At 37.2% G+C, this 16,796-nt stretch overlaps 1 long non-coding RNA gene across 1 annotated transcript; it reads left to right on the top strand.

The window, feature by feature from the left end:
* Window positions 1-11,978: 11,978 nt before the first annotated feature.
* LOC124904338 (uncharacterized) lies at window positions 11,979-16,152 on the top strand. The gene is made up of 2 exons (XR_007066432.1): window positions 11,979-12,112; window positions 15,973-16,152. It is a non-coding gene; the product is annotated as an uncharacterized LOC124904338 (long non-coding RNA).
* The last annotated feature ends 644 nt before the right edge of the window (window positions 16,153-16,796 follow it).

Below are 16,796 nucleotides of genomic sequence, written 5' to 3'. Positions count from 1 at the left end.
CCCACACCACTGGACCCCTAGAAATTTTACTGAGGTAGAAGTTCCCTGAATTTTAGTTGGATTTATTTCCCACTTATTTAGTTGGATTTATTTCCCACCCTCTTAGAATGTGTGTGTGTGCGCGTGCATGCGTGTGTGTGTGTGTAAAATACAGATTGTTATAATTCTGGTGAAATTAACTGAACCATTATCAATCCTGGGAACATTTTTTTTTGTCTCTAATTCAAGGAACTAAGTAAAAACAGATTCGAAACTTTATCCTAATTGGAATTAAACTACTGCATTTTAAGTCAAAGGTGTGGAGGTAAATGAACAACCAAATGAGACCAAGGAAAGGCTATTATTCAGAGCTTGCGATAGCAAAGGAATCCTCCACCCCACCACACCACTAGCATTTTGACGGAAACATAAAGGTAGGCAGAAAAATGGGAAAACCTTATAGTGGACAAAGGGAAGGGTTCAGATATGCTCTGACTGAAAGCTGTTTGCATGGAGAAAGCTGTTGGAGAGCAAACTAGCAACAGGACATCCTATGTGATTGGTTAAGGGTACCTATTTGATTTTCCTTTGCTGGTTCTAAATTGAAAGTGGGGACACAAATTATGGAAGTTGTTAGTTATTAATCAAGTCCTGGTCATGTTGGGCCAATTGTTACAGAGTTAATTATTGGCTTCCTGGGTTGGTTTCCTATGCTAATTGCTGCAAGTTGTGGGTCAGAGTTCTACTTTTATTATGTGATCTGGTGATTGTCTCTTTGTATATTCAGTCTTTCAGTGGCAAAGAGAGTAGGGCCTCAGTAGTCTAGAGTTTATCTATTCAAAATCACCTCCAAACCAAGACACAGCCCCAGATATACTTTTCTGCACTGACCTCATGTAAGAAAGCAATAAAAGAAGGAAATACATCTCAAAAGAAGACTAACCACCATAGAATCAATAACTTGTACTCACCCCTTTTATGTAACTAAAGTCCCATTCAGCTAAAACCTATTTCAAAATTAAACTTGAGCTGGAGTCACCCACAATCACCCCCGTCTCTGCTTAGGGCACGGTGTTTAGGGAAAGTTCTCAAGAAGCCCTAGAGAAGTGTAAGGATTTTTGAACCATATTAACGACAATGTTGTGTTAGAGACGTCCTTCGCAAATTCAGTTACATATTACTTAAATTAGGAACTTTCCCAAATCTGTTAATCCAGCATTGTGGAATTCATAAGTAAATTTGGAAAAGATCAATAGTTTTACATTCGTACTCTATAAAAATTGTTGGAAACTCATTAGTTATTTTCAGTATTCCATGTGGCTTAATGGACAAAAATACTGCAAAAAGACTACACAGATTAACAAAAATATTACATACCATAATTTTTCTTAATGCAATAATATTAACTGTACATTAGGATATGAGTCTTTGAATATTAAAACTATAATTCTTCATAATACATGTGGAACATGCAAACTGTTTCAAAGTAGTGTGTCTCCAGGGGGTAAAGAATATACTCATTATTTTGTAGTAAAATAGTGAAAAACCACCTGACAAATGACATTTTGGGTCCCTTCTGATTCTATGATTTTATGCTTATAGCCGACTTTTGGCTAAAATTTTGTTTTTAAAAAATAACACAAAGGGAATCATTTTTAGTGGAATTTGTTTAATATAACTAGAAAAAACAGTTATAACTAAAGAAATATTGTCAAACCAAACATACACATTTCAATTTGAATTTGTAAAATTGAATTTCTAACAAATATGAATTAAAAATATATTTTTCAAAGGAAAAGATAGTAGTATAAAATAAATTACTAAATATAATAAATTATAAAATGTTTTTTATAAAATAACACGATATAGATATTTTTTCTTTATTTCTTCTAAAAAAAAAGAAACAGGATACATGTGCGGAACAGGCATGTTTGTTATATAGGTGTACGTGTGCCATGGCGGTTTCCTGCACCTATTGACCCATCCTCTAAGTTCCCTGCCCTCACCCCCCATCCCACAACTGGCCTTGGTGTGTGTTGTTCCCCTCTCTGTGTCCATGCTGGCAAGGCTGTGGAGAAATAGGAATGCTTTTGCACTGCTGGTGGGAATGTAAATTAGTTCAACCACTGGAGAAGACAGTATCGCGATTCCTCAAGGATCTAGAACCAGAAATACCATTTGACCCAGCAATCCCATTACTGGGTATATAAACACATAAAATTTTTCGGCTAACTTTCATTCAGAGATTTATTTTAATGAGTATTCATATTACTCAGTGTTCTCTAGAGGGACTGAAGTAATAGGATATATATATATATATACATACATATATATATATATTTTTATATATAAAGGGGGAGTTTATTGAGTATTAACTCACACAATCACAAGTTCCCACAATAGGTTATCTGCAAGCTGAGGAGCAAGGAGAGCCAGTATGAGTACCAAAAGTGAAGAACTTAAGAGCCTGAATGTTCCAGGGCAGGAAGCATCCAGCACAGGAGAAAGATGTAGGCTAGGAGGCTAGGCCAGTCTAGGCTTTTCACATTTTTCTGCCTGCTTTATAGTCTAGCCTCACTGGCAGCTGATTAGGTGGTGCCCACCCAGATTAAGGGTGGGTCTCCCTTTCCAAGCCCACTGACTCAAATGTTAATCTACTTTGGCAACACCCTCACTGATACACCATGGATCAGTACTTTGCCTCTTTCTTTTCTTTTTTTTTTTTTTTTGAGATGGAGTCTCACTCTATTGCCCGGGCTGGAGTGCAGTGGCGCAATTTCGGCTCACTGCAAGCTCCGCCTCCTGGGTTCATGCTATTCTCCTGCCTCAGCCTCTGGAGTAGCTGGGACTACAGGCGCCCGCCACCACGCTTGGCTAATTTTTTTATTTTTTGTAGAGACGGGGTTTCACCTTGTTAACCAGGATGGTTTCGATCTCCTGAACTTGAGATCCGCCTGCCTCGGCCTCCCAAAGTTCTGGGATTACAGGCCTAGCCACCGCACCCGGCCTGCTTTGCATCTTTCAATGCGATCGAGTTGACTCTCAGTATTAACCATCATAGTATTTAAGGTTTATTTTTTATTTTTTATTTTTATTGGTTTTTTTTTTTTTTAGCTTTTTTTGCATTATAAAATGGTTGCTTTAAAGAGCTTATGAATTGTCACCCCCTAATGTTTAAACATCACTCTTGGACCGAATTTTTCTAGTTACTGTACTCATTAAACTTTTTGCTTTTAAAATGCATAGGGATAATCTGTGACCCTCCCTCCACTCCACTCAGAATTGAAAAATCATTCTCTTTTCTGGATAGGGATCTGTTTGACCACTTGGCATGGTCAAAGGACATCTGTTACAGACCCTGGAGCATAAAAGGGGAAGAACTTTAGAGAAACCATTGGCAGGAAGATTTTCAGGCTTTATGCCACTGCCTCCTATCATGGCCCCAAATTACATGATGAAACTGCACTAAATGGTAGCTTTTACGAGTTGGAAGAATGGAAAATATAACCTCCACATTTCTACTCCTGTTATTTAATTACAAAAGTTGCATGTAACTTTTGAAAGCATATCAGAAAATATTCAAAGCTGAAGAGAATTGATTTTGCATATGCATGTCCCTTTTTCACTGTAAGAGCCAATAAAATGACTTCACTGAGTAAAATGACGCATTTCCAGACACCAACTACAATATCAAATTGTACAATTTTATTTCGTCTCCACACGGTTACAAATATCTTAACAAAAAACCTTCAAGAAACAACATTCCCAAATATAATAGATAAAGTACCACATAAACATTGATCACTTTGATTCTGTTAACTCTGAAGATGTCCTCAATGAAACCCATAACTTGGTGCATGAACTGAGGTCCTAGGCGACTTTGTACATATGATTTCAAAATACAATAATTCAAGGTGATCTTGCCATTGATTCATTATAGGGAACAAGGAGTTATTAAGTGATATAACCTGTTGGTGTGTATTTTACTCTGTTCATATAAACCAGTGAAGCAAGATCAATTTGTTTCTCGGTTGAATTAGTTTTCTTGTGGGCACCTCAAGCACACATTCAAGAACAGCTTCCAAGAAACAAATTTATTTTCCTGAAATGATGGTCTTTATTGGCAACATCTAGTTCTTTTAATTTTACAGTTGGTTTCCCAGCTATGATCTGTTTTCATGAAGCATGAGAAAAATCCTAGAACAGTTAAATGTGCTTACCATATAGTTTATGAATTAGTTGCTTCTTCAAATTGGCAAAAGACATAGAATAAAACTGCACTCTCAGTAACTCAGTCCTCCTTTTCCTGACTCTCCATGAATAGTACAATTATTTTCCCTGCACGCATCGCAGCTTGGTCATGGCAGGTACGAACTTGTTATTGGCATATATGTATATGTGTGTATGTCTGTGTGTACACATACACAGACATACACACACACAGAAGTAAATGAAGAGTTGGAGAACCTCCAGCTCTGACTCTACTTTATTCATTCTTTCATCAGGTGTCTTACAGATGTCAGGTAAGTCCCTCAAGCCATGGAGGCCTAATCTGTAACAGAAACAAGCAAGAGACTTATTTTTGGCCCATCGACTCCCAAGTGTGTTGTAAGGTTTGAGCAACTCGGAACTAGAAATAGGCTTTGAAAAAGCAGAGTATGCACTGCACATTTAAGGGAGTATTATTTTTCGGTCTTGTCTTATATCATCAGATCCCGCTGATGAAACTGAGATACATATGCCATATTTAGTGTTTCTAACAAAAGGAAAATATCTTTTGGGGGTCACCTTTTGCTGTATTTGAAGGAAGGAAGAAACACAGGTACATTTTAAATGACTCTTCCACTCTGCCCAGAAGGGCTTGCTCAGCCAGGGAGGGACTGCCATTAGTGAGTAAGTGAGAAGTGACATGTTCTGTCTCTCAAAGGGTTTCTTCATGTCCACTTTGGTAGCTCTCATTACACTGCCTGAATCCATTAAGACAGAAACAAGGTTTCCCCATAAAATGTTTTTGTGACTAAACAGGACATGCAGCTCTTTAATCAGTGACAGAACATCTCCTCTGACAAGACTGAGTGATACAGTGTGCTCCAGTCCCACCTTTGCTGCCGAGAGGGAATATCCCTTACAAGGACAGACAATAGTCTCATTAAATTGCCTTTGGCTGATCTATCAATGCTCCAGTGAAAACAATTATTCTGAATATATTTAATGTAAATATCTATGTCAAAAGAAATCTTACTTTGTATTGTGTGGATATCTCATCCATGATAATTCAGTTAATGTTTTGAAATTTTGGAAGTGACTGTCAGCTGGTTTTGGATTTTCCAGGGGTCTAGGTGACACTAAAGTACTAGCAAGGAGAGGGAGAACCCTGCCTAGTCCCCAAATAATAAAATTAAAATGAATCATTATATTTTTATATTATTTTATAATATATATTATATTGTATTATATAGTATGTATTTTCTTTATGAAATAAAGATAATAACATAATAAAAATTTGAAAAACCAAGTGATAGGGGAGGGGTGGGAGTGTAATGCCTGCTGTCTATTCTCTTAGCAACAGTGTCAAATGGGATCTAAAGTGATTCTGTAGCTTGAGACCTTAAAGCGAATGTGGCCTGCACTATGTAGCTTACTTCAACATATTTTTAAAGATACATGTGTGGCTGAATATGGGTCAAAGTGATATATGACATGAGTAGAGAGTTATTTATAGAAGGGACCATTCTCTAGGAAAATGTTCCATTAGCTGAGTTGGCTTGCATATACAGTATATGCTAAATTTGGAGACATTGAAAGCTAAGTGAATGTAAAAATGAAGTGGACTTTAGAGTTTCTCTAGTCTAACTGGATGAGAGGTAGATAAGAAATACGGTGCCCAGAGAACTGAAATGCCTTGCTCAGAGTTGCACCAAGAGTTAGTCTAAAACCCAGACCACTGACTCTCACATCCATTCTATGGATATTACAAACCATACCAAAACCATCAACAATTTATTTTGGAAATAGGCCATTAATTGACAAATGTCTCTGCTCTGGTATACCCCAATCTACATAACTATAGAAACAAATATGTCTCTCTTTTCCTCTTCCCAAATATTTCTCAGTAACTCAAGGGAACTGTAAGTATGCTTCTAAATTGGCCCTCTGTCTCCAGGGTGGCAGGTTCCCAAGGTTAGCCCTGGTTACTAGACACTGTGCTGGCATGTTACTCCTTTTGCTCCCAGCTGTGAACTCTCTGAGTGTATCTGAAAGCTGAGAAACACTCAAAGAGTTTCAGAATCATCTACCACCATAACTCTCCATACCAGGTCACTGTCTCCAAGCCCAGAGGCTGGGCAATGGCAAGATATTATCCCATGCTCTCAATCGCACTTCATTCCCCTCAGTCAGTCAACAAGAAAAATTTGTTATGTGTAACTGCTGTGCAAATAGAAGTCTAAATGGGCCAAACAACCTGCAGATGAAAGGTTCTGATTCTCAGCTGGGGGGCTCAGACAGAGCTCCCTGTGACTTAGTGACATCTCCAGCTGCCCTCACAAGTCACACACGGCCTTCAAGTCATCCTCTCCCTATCTAGGACCCTCACTACACAGCCTGACTCAGCTACCTGGCTAGACTTGTTTCCACTGAAAATTTCTTTCTCTTCCTCATCTAACCATGTGCAAAGAAGAATTTAAAAGACTTGGATTTTGAGTTTCTGGGTATTCTCTACACTGATAAATATTTAACTGTTTTTTCTCCAATATAAACAATTTCTGTAGATTGTGTTCTGAATGCAGACTAATGGAGAACATGGCCCAGTATAATTTTACCTATGAGCAAGATGGAGGTTTTTGGCAAGACAGGGGCATGTTCCAAAGCAGAAAGCCTACCTGTCCCATTATTGTCCATTCATGGTCAGTCTTGGGCTCTCCCAAAGAGTTCTGGACTTGAAAATGTCAAGATTCCTCAGTATCCTAATCTATCCTCATTGTACACTCAGAGAACCCATGCTATATATAAATATTTTTATCTCAGTAGGGGTCATATTAATTTTATTGATTAGATACAGTAATATTTAGCTTCACAGAATGGAGACTTTCTTGGTGTGGGATAGAGAAAGGTCCAAGGATAATACATGCTTCTGTATAGGCTCACTCACCACAACTTTTACTCGTTTTTCTGATCCCAGGCCATGAACTTTCCTTTGAGGAAACATACACTTGAAATTAACTCTGCCCCATGCTATTACTATTTAAATTTTTTCCTCTCAATATGCACTTCAGTTTATTTTGCTTTCACACTTCAGAAATGACACCCATAAAATATAATGCTCTTTCTCAAAATTGTGGTGTCTTTGAACATACAAGGCCATAAATAAGCTCAGTGGTTAAACTTCTACGTTTCAAACTTCTGCCTCTTTATCTCTGTCACTGCAAAGGTCTATCTGGTCTGTCTTCCCTTGTGCCTATGATAAAATGCTTATGTACTAGTAATCAGTCTTGCATTCTCCCCTCCTTACCATCCATTTATTTTTAGTTTTCCAGTTTCAAGCAACCACTACTTTGGGAGTTGTGATATGCCTGAGTTTGGTGTGCTCCCATGGCCTTTAGAAATTAGTGTTGAAGGAGTACAGTGACTGAGTGGTCTCTTCCCAGGTCTTCCTGATGCTTGCCCCCACTTTATCTGCAGGCCACCTTAATCCCACACATTTCTGATTTACCTACCTATGGGATGAATATAGTTGCTCTTCAATCCTTTTTCTTGACACTTTTTGCTAAACCCAATGAGTGGCCCAATTAGTTTAATCTTCTTTAATATCCATCATTCTCATTTCTTCCTGGTTTTACTAATTTCTTGTGCTTGATCAACACAGCTCATGAATGCCCATATCTTGCAAACTCCTGCAGTTGCAAAGCCTCTGTCACTTTCTATATTTATCTTTAGTTTCCCTTTTGTCTTGTTCTAACACATTAGTCAGTGTCTAATATTGCAAGGGCAAATGAAAAATAGATGTAATACTTTAAACTTTACCTTTCAATGTTCAATAATTAAAGTGTTCATATAAGGCTGTTTCCCTATAAATGTTTTTTTTTCAATTCTATTTTTTTTAATTAAAAAAAGAGAGAAAACTATGTATATACAGAAACCTGCATTTTCTTAGCTAGAGAGCAGCCAAGTATTCTTGGAGAATTCTATTAATAAGAACTGCAACAAATCCCGTTTTTAAGAATGTGACCTTTCTTCAGTAATAAAGAATTTCCCAAGCATCACGTTGTTTAAAGTCACATCATCACAATTATCTGAACAAGGAAGTAGGCGAGACTTTTGTAAATCAAAACCCAGAAGCAGTAACAGGTAATCAAATGTCTATTGACTCAATGGAAACAAAAGCCAGGGTATCTCCTTGTCTTGTGAAAAACCTTGCATATTTCATAAAGTACAGAGTAGGAAAACAATAGATATATTTTACTTAATTTCCTGAATATGTAAATAGAATACACACTACAAATAGCTAAAGTATTTGAATAATTAATTGACTTTCTGCATATTTTCAGAGTGAGTATTAAGGGTTACAGTCCTATTTTCTTCAAATCTTCATCATCTTTTTCTTTAACTTTTCACATTTTTTGTAACTGTGAAATATATCTAAAAATATGTGACTAATTGAGTCAATAGCAAATTGTACTTATGGCCATTCTCCATAATTTTTCAAGAGAAAATAAGATACATTGACTTATTTAGAGATTTTCAACCATTTAGGTAAAATGTTTTCTCTCCAATCTTTTGTACAGAACACAATTTGCCGGTTATTCTGTCCTGTATTATTTCCCCTCTCCAGTTGCTTCAAATTACAAAATAATAATTTTCCTGATAAAGTGACTAGTCTCTCAAAAGCTATAACAGTTTTCTATTAGTTTCTATTTCTATTAGTTTTCCCAAACTGCTATGACACTTTTTAAAATACTAATTTAAACATTTAAAAAATAACAGCTTTCTGTTTTGCAAAGCAGCTATGACACATATTGGTCGTGAGAGTGGAAAACAGCACAACTAGTTAGGAGTAGTGTTTGGGTATCGGTCATAGCAGTTTATTTAACCTATGAGATCTGTCAAATTTCATCTAACTCTACACAGAAAACCCCTGGTTTTCACTGCATGTAAACTATACCTAAATTTTTTGAAAAAGTGACTTGTTCATCATATAAAATATTATGGGATCTTTAGAAAAAATCTCTGAAAAGGAAAGAAAGAAAACAGTCATCAGGGTAATGTAATATTGTTTATAAAATTAAAACCAAAATCCAAAATAATTTAAGTAAGCTAAAACCAAATAATAGGAATAAAAGCCAGGTATATTAATTATCTTTTAGAGTAATCAAGGAAAATACTATAACATAGGTTTTAGGTGAATAAGAATATTAAGAGTAAAGTTGTTCAGATAGAAAGATACAGAATTATAACTTGGATTTAAGTACTCTAGAATGTTTTCTTTAGGTATCCTCTTTATTAGAAAGAAAATGAGCGGTTCTCACCCGACCTCCTAAACTAAGCACTTTCCTTTCATCCAAGACTGCTTCAGCCCTGCCTGCATGCATCAGAAGTCACTCCTCAGGCTGCATTCCCCAGTGACAGTAGGAGGGTCAGTTTTTTGCCTCTTTTCCCTCTTTATCAAGAGTTAGTCCGATGTTCTTATAACTGTTTTCATGATGAGTTAATTTGACCTAAAATATTCATAGATTCTAATAACTTAGTATGTGGTTAGATTTCAGTACTTAGTCTCATAGGTCAAGGGAAGAGAGGAGAGATCACAGACAATGTATAACAAGATGTTTATACCTGTTAGTGACTTAGATAGACATTAATTTTCCAAGCTTCAGATCAGTACTTATGAAGTTTCCTTAATCATCCTGTAGGGTAAATGGTACTTTGGAATTAAAATAATTTAGGAAGGTAAAATTAAGTGAAGCAACATAATATTGTTCTACTTGAAACCAAGGCTCACTGAGTGAAATCATTCTCTTTAGGTAGATTTAAAGAAGTGACTTCTAAACTATGACTATGGACTCAGATATATACTGATAGAGGTGTTTAAGATAAGTTCAATGTGTGCAATTACCATTTGAAGTTTGAGCTGTTGGAGCGGTTTCTTTCTGATTTTATGCATGTCTCCCTGTTTTGGGATAAAGTTTTGTCAACTCATAATAGCACCATTTGTGAGCTCTTGTGGACCACAAGCTCCTATTGGTAGTAGCATACAGCCAATTATTTTTAAGTGAAAAGCTGGATTAACTATTACTCAATGATGGTATTTACTTCCTGGATTAAACCAGGATTGTAATAAAATTTACTTCTATCTCAAAACCATAATTTTACTCCAGTATTTGGGAAATACTAGACAAGATTATGCCAAGTATTGCTCAGGGACTTCGATCTCAGTGTCTTACAGGTCTACCTTTTCCCCAGATGAAAGTCATGATCATAATGTGGAACACACTGTATTAGTTATCTATTGTACCACAAGAAATTACCCCCAAATTTTGTTACATAAAGCAACAAACATTTATTCTCTTGCAGATTCTGTGGATGAATAATTCAGAAACGTTCCAGTTGGATGGACTGATTCAGGGTCTCTCATGATGCTGCAGCCAAGGTGTTTGCAAGCATTGCCATAAACTGAAAACTTGACTGGGGCTAAAGAATTTTCTTCTATGATGGCTCATTCATGTGGCTGTTGGTGGGAGGCCTCAGTTTCTCCCATGTGAACCTCTCCATGGTACTCCTTGGGTGTCTTCATGACAAGGCAGTTGGCTTTCTCCTGAGCAAGTGATCCAAGAGTGAGCAAGGAAGAAGCCTCAATGCCTTTTATGGCTTTGTCCCAGAAATCATACATTGTCACTTCTGTCACATTCTATTAACTAGAAGGTAGTTAGTAAGTACAGCCTACACTCTAGGAGAAAGATATCAGGTTACACTTTTTGAAGAGAAGAATGTGTGAACATATTTTAATATCAGCACACAACGAATGCCTTCAAACCTCAGTAAATTTCTGGCCCCTGTAAAAAAAAAAAAAAAAAAAAGGGAGGGGCAGCTTACTCTGTAGAGTTTCAATAGTAAAGCATTGGTTTCAACAACAAAGCATTAGCATGTAGAGGGGGAGGCATAAAAAAAGGAAAATCATTTCCAAAACTGATACTGGAATGAAGTCAGTAAAACAGGAAATGTAAAGGAGGAACTTGCCTTGGATGCAAATTAAGGGGGTAAAAAATGCAAAATGATTGTTTTGCTTTAATTTTGCCTGATTTAAAAAAAATTGCATTAGAATATTATTTGTCTTCATTACTGAGCTTTTTACCCACACCCCCCCATATTACAGTTTGCACTTGAGAACAGTGCCTCACTTCCTTTGTTTGCACCACCCTAGTCACACCCCACTGTCTTCCTATTTTATATATTAGCTGCTCAGGACAGTTATTTCCAGCTTTGTGAAATTAGTAGATTGACAGTATGCTGGAAGCAGACTAGAGTAGCACAGAACAGCAGGAAAACTGCCTGGCTTGATATCAGGTGGCTTGGGTACCAGTCAAATCTTCTCTAATTAGCTATGGAACTTTAATAATATCATTTCACCTAAAAGTGTCTCAGTTTCTTGGTGATAAATTTGAAGAGGCCAAACTAGAGATTTTCTAAGGCCCAGTAAAGGCTTAACATTTTAACAGCATATAGCCTTAGAGTACCAGATGACATTTTCCCTTCCCTTACATCCATCATCTGTAGCTAGAGACCTGAAATCCATTACTCTTCAGAGTAAAGCTAATGCTTTCTTATGTGCTTGTTGTTTTTAATTTTAATTTGGAATTATGCTTTTTGCAATCATTTGCCCAATCTTGCTCTGGGGTAGTCATCGGGGCATGATGCAGCATTGGTATCATTTTCTATTTTCATTAAGGTGCCCTGAGGACTTCCAGCATTAGATGCCAACAAATTTAAATTATTAATTTTATTACAACAAGAGTTCTACAACAGCAGAGTTACTGAAATGCTTTTTAAATTGGTTTTTAACTAGAAAAATAAAGAGATAGAATATGGACACTTGGGAAATAATAAGAAAAGTGAGACAGCACTGCTACTGATTTAAAGTCAGGTAAGGGGATATTTCTTTTAAGTTCAATATTCACAAATCATTGGACTTGGATAAGATACTAATGAGAGTACTGAACAGCCTCATAGGTACGAAATAATGAAGAAGAAATCAAGTAATAAAAAAAACCCAAAAACCGTGGTACTGACATGTAAGAATGGAAAAACTGATCTCACTAATTGATATTCTTTTAATTGATTCCACTTCTTAATTAAAAAACTATATTTTTAATATGCCTACCTAAAGGCCTACTGTAAGCAGTAGATATATAATCAGAGACAAGCGGTGAATTTTCCATTTCTGAATGATCTTGGGTAAATCACAAAAGTCAATTTAAAACTGTCTTCACCTGAAAAATGGGGACATTAAAACCCCCACATAGGGATTTTTGTGTGGCTCAAATAAGGTATTGTGCATAGAAGCAATTGTAAACTGTAAAATACTCTGCACATATGAAGAATTTATAAATTTATAGATATTTGTCACTTCCAATTAATATTACTGGGAGTCTTGTGATGATATTAGGGATGAAAGAACAGTGGAATTCTAAGGTGACTTTATCCATCCAATGACTCAGACCTGACCCTGAAAAATACAGGCATACATAAATTTCACATCTCAGAGTGATGGGCTTTATAATTAATTATAATATCCCAGAATATTTTACCAATTCTTGTCAGTATGTGTGTTTGTTAGATTCTTAAATAAGGAGAATCTCGGCTGGTAGACACAATAACAAACAAGTTCTCAAAATTCATTAGGGTTATCCTGTGCCTGATCTGCCAAATCAGCCACCCTTATGCTCCCTATTCAGTTCTGTTTTATCAACCCTGACAGTGGGTTACTCTAAGGGTGGAAAGAGGCTCAGCTGAAGAGCCAATCTAGGATGAGACTGGAGACATGTCCTTGTGCAGATTTAAGAAATCTGTGTTGGCCCCGTGGATGAAGAAAACCTCTGGGGTTCTCCCTTGGGATCTAACAGGAGCTCAGAACTATTTTCTTTTCCAGAAATTGGGCAAGGTTAACCCAATGCCCCAAAGCTAAACATCATTTTTAGGAGGAATCCAGAAGCTTAATTGCTCCTATAAAAAGTTTGGCTAGTGTGGGAGATTATAGAGCCATAATCTGAAAGTTAAACCCAGGTATCAGTTTGGTAGAAACATCTATGAGTGATATAGGAGGTAGAAGCCATGAAGACTCCAAGACTAGGGGATGGGATGAAGAGTCAGTAGCCAAGAACTGGTAGAGGAAGAAATGCAAACCAGTCACATGGCAAATGTCACCTCCTTACGTTCCCTTTTATCATGAGGAGATTCTGAATAAAAATAGTGAGAATCAGAGCCGTTCCTTGAAAATTGAGAAAAACCAGTAAATGCTGAAGTGGTATTCTGATAGCATGCTTGAATAATTTGTTTGTTGGTGCTATTGATTCAGGCCCCAGATAGAGCAAAAGAACATAAAGTCACCCTATTCATTGCTCCTGTAGAGCAAGACCAGGAGCTGCTAGTGGGAGAACTCATTTCTCTAGCACAACACTGCAAGGAGAATATCACTAAGTGCAAAAGTAATGTTTGGATGGCATAATTGCTTAACCGAATATCATATAAGAAAAACACTGGGTCCATATATCTGTTTATGAACTAAAATCTGAGGAACTGTTTTTATATTTAGCATCCTTTTTCTCCTAGAATCTTGTTAGATAGAAATGAATGTCAGAGAACTGTTTGGAATAATAGAATAACTATGCTTTATTGAAGGCTAACTGTGTGCCAGGCTCTGTGCTAACTGCTTTCCATTGTGAGCTTATTTAAGCTTCAATTCAACCATATGCAGTAAGCAGTATAATTTCCATTTTACTGATGAGAAAATCGAGGATTCCAGATAGTAAGTGGTAGAGTGGGACTCGAACACAGTTTTATTACAAGCCCTGCTTTACAGCACCACATTCTACTGTTTTGTTCTGGGACTATGGAGGAAACTTGATGACTGCATGCTCTTACAAAGTGTGTGTAGTTTTTCTGATGGTGGAAAGTGGGAGTGGAGTTTCTTCTGGTGGAGTGACCAGCTGGTTGGGTTGTTCATATGAGCTGGTCTATAAATTAGAGGAAGGAAACCAGATCAAGAGTGAAGGGAGCACACAGCACTCACCCACTTTCCAAGAGTAAACCTTGAAGTAACTTCTCTAAGGAGGACTAAGAAAAAGACCAAGTTAACTACCTATATTTCCACCTTTGTCCTTCCTATGGTGTAATGCTCTTCTGAGAGCACTCTGAATCTTCAGTAAAGATGTGCTTTGATGTCTGACAGGCAGGACAGATGGAACCTAAGGAGAAAACACAGGCAAAGGGGTACTGAGCAAGCCTAGCTACATTTCCAGGAAAGAAGGTGGTGCCGAGACCTCAAGAGAGGACCCCAGGAGGTCTTCCACATCCACAGAAAAATCCAATGCTTAGGAGTACAGGAGATGGCACATAGGAAGAGAAAATGAAACTCAATTTCCAGGGTAATTAAGGGTTCCTTTTGATAGAGCTCAGAATGCTGAACTTATATTCAAACAGCTCAAGAAGTTACTCTCTGATCAGTTTGCTGCTGGCATGCTGCTGACTTCTGAGCATCTATTATCTGTTCTTAAAGGAGAAAGGGACAGTAGCATCCCCTGTAGCTGACTACTTTATTGATTTCCTTCCATAGCTTTAATGTACAACTTCAGATTTTATGATGACTGCTGAAAGATCTTTCCATATCTCCTACTCATGGAAATGCCCATCTGCCTGCATTCCATCACTTCTAGCTGGATTTGACACAAGTTTGTCACTAATAACAAGTTCTTTTTCCTTACTTTCCCCAAACCCTAGACTGAACATCTGCCTTATTCACTGGCAAGATTAATATATCCCACTTGAGCAAGTGCAATATGCTCTCTTGGTGTCACTCTTAGAGATAGGATTTAACTTGCCAATGGTGATAATTGTGCAATATTATACCAAGAAGACATACATTCCATACTGATCTAGATATCATGCAATCCTTCATATCAAAGCTCATGCCACTGACCACTGTCAATGACACACTGGGAGTGACATGGGTGTCTTTCTCCTGCATGTAAGAAAAAATATGCATAATTGCCTTTGTAAGACAAAGAAAAATTTTCCATCCTTACTTCTCTTATAATTATCTGTGGATGTTTTTATAATATGTGATTTCATACTCAGAATATATCTCACCCATATCATGGCCCCAGTGTCTAACACAGTGCAAGGGAAATTATAGGCCCTCAAGGGGTATTGGTTGAATGTGTAAATTAACCTTGTAAGAGACTTCTTACATCTTAAACAAGTTACAGTTACTCTACCAAAAACCTTATTTACAAAATTTTCTCTTTCTCAAAGAATTTTAGAATATTATTTAATTTATCATTAGAGAAATCATATTTCTAGATTCCAAAATGTAATTCTGACTCCACAAACTATTAGGCATCATCAAAGTCTAAAAAATAGAAAGATCTTCCTAAAGTGAAGGTTCATACAATCATTATCGAGGTGGGGATCCAGAAGATGGTTTTTAAATACAAATAAATTGATTTATTTCTACCTTTTACTTTTTCACAGTTCTATTACATGAAGTAAAGCATCTGTAACCTAGAAATGATGGGTAACGTTCAAAGCTGATATCCCAGATGATTCTGCTATGACAGACTTCCCCTGCCTATTGAAATCTTAAGGTTGTCTAACCCCAAAATTCTAGACTATGAAAAGTTGTATTGTAATTTTAAATTCAGGCTACAGAAATAAAAACAAACAATCTTTAGGAAGCTAAACTAAGGTATAACCATTTTCCAAAATTCCCGATTTCATCTATTTTAGAAAAAGACCACTCCTGGGAGAAACACAAGTTACATGGTATTGCTCTTCTCACATGAACCATCTCCACAACCAACGTGCCCTGAATCCCAGTGCTTGGCCAACCCCATCACTAGTAATCAACCATCATCCCAAGAAGCGAACATAATCAGAAGCTAAATCAAATAAATATGTCTTACTCTCTGTTCTGACGTCGGCCAAGTTCCATTTCTGGTGGGAGGCCAAGGGGAACAAGTGCCAAAGGCATATGGCTGTGGGCACCATTGCGCCAGAAAGATGTCAACACATTGGAAAGGATTCAGAGAAGAGTGGCGGGGGTGATTAAGGGGCTGAGGAATTTACTTATGCGGGAGATTAAGAGAACTAAGTGTGTATACATTGGCTAAGCAGTATATGGGAGGCAGTGGAGCTGGAGATAATTTAAAGTGTCGACAATTCCATACAAGGAATTCGTGGCATGGGAGCCAGAGGAAATACTGAGGCTTGGGAAAAGGAGGAGCAGGAAATAAGCACAAAAGCCAGGCTCCAGTTGTCATCAAAATGTTTTATGGGTATGCTGATTTAAAATGAGAGCATTTTACAGCATCACATGTAGAATACTCATAGTTAAAAAGGAGGCAAAAAGAACATGAAAGCAAGCCAGGTGGGCCTGGGACATGAGGTATAAGAAACAAAGTATGTCTTCCCCCTTTCTTCCCCTATGGGATCATGATTACTAAGAAAATGCCTACAACCCCCTTCCAACTATCTGGAGTTCTCCAGTCATATCATAAGGACTACTGGACCAAAGATCAGCCCTTTCCTTGTGCCTTCTCCTTCCAACGCTT

Source organism: Homo sapiens, chromosome 18 (assembly GCF_000001405.40).
Source record: "Homo sapiens chromosome 18, GRCh38.p14 Primary Assembly".
In the NCBI taxonomy this organism is placed as follows: Eukaryota; Metazoa; Chordata; class Mammalia; order Primates; family Hominidae; genus Homo; species Homo sapiens.
Note: the sequence above shows the minus strand (reverse complement) of the source record. Positions and strands in the feature narration are given on the sequence as shown.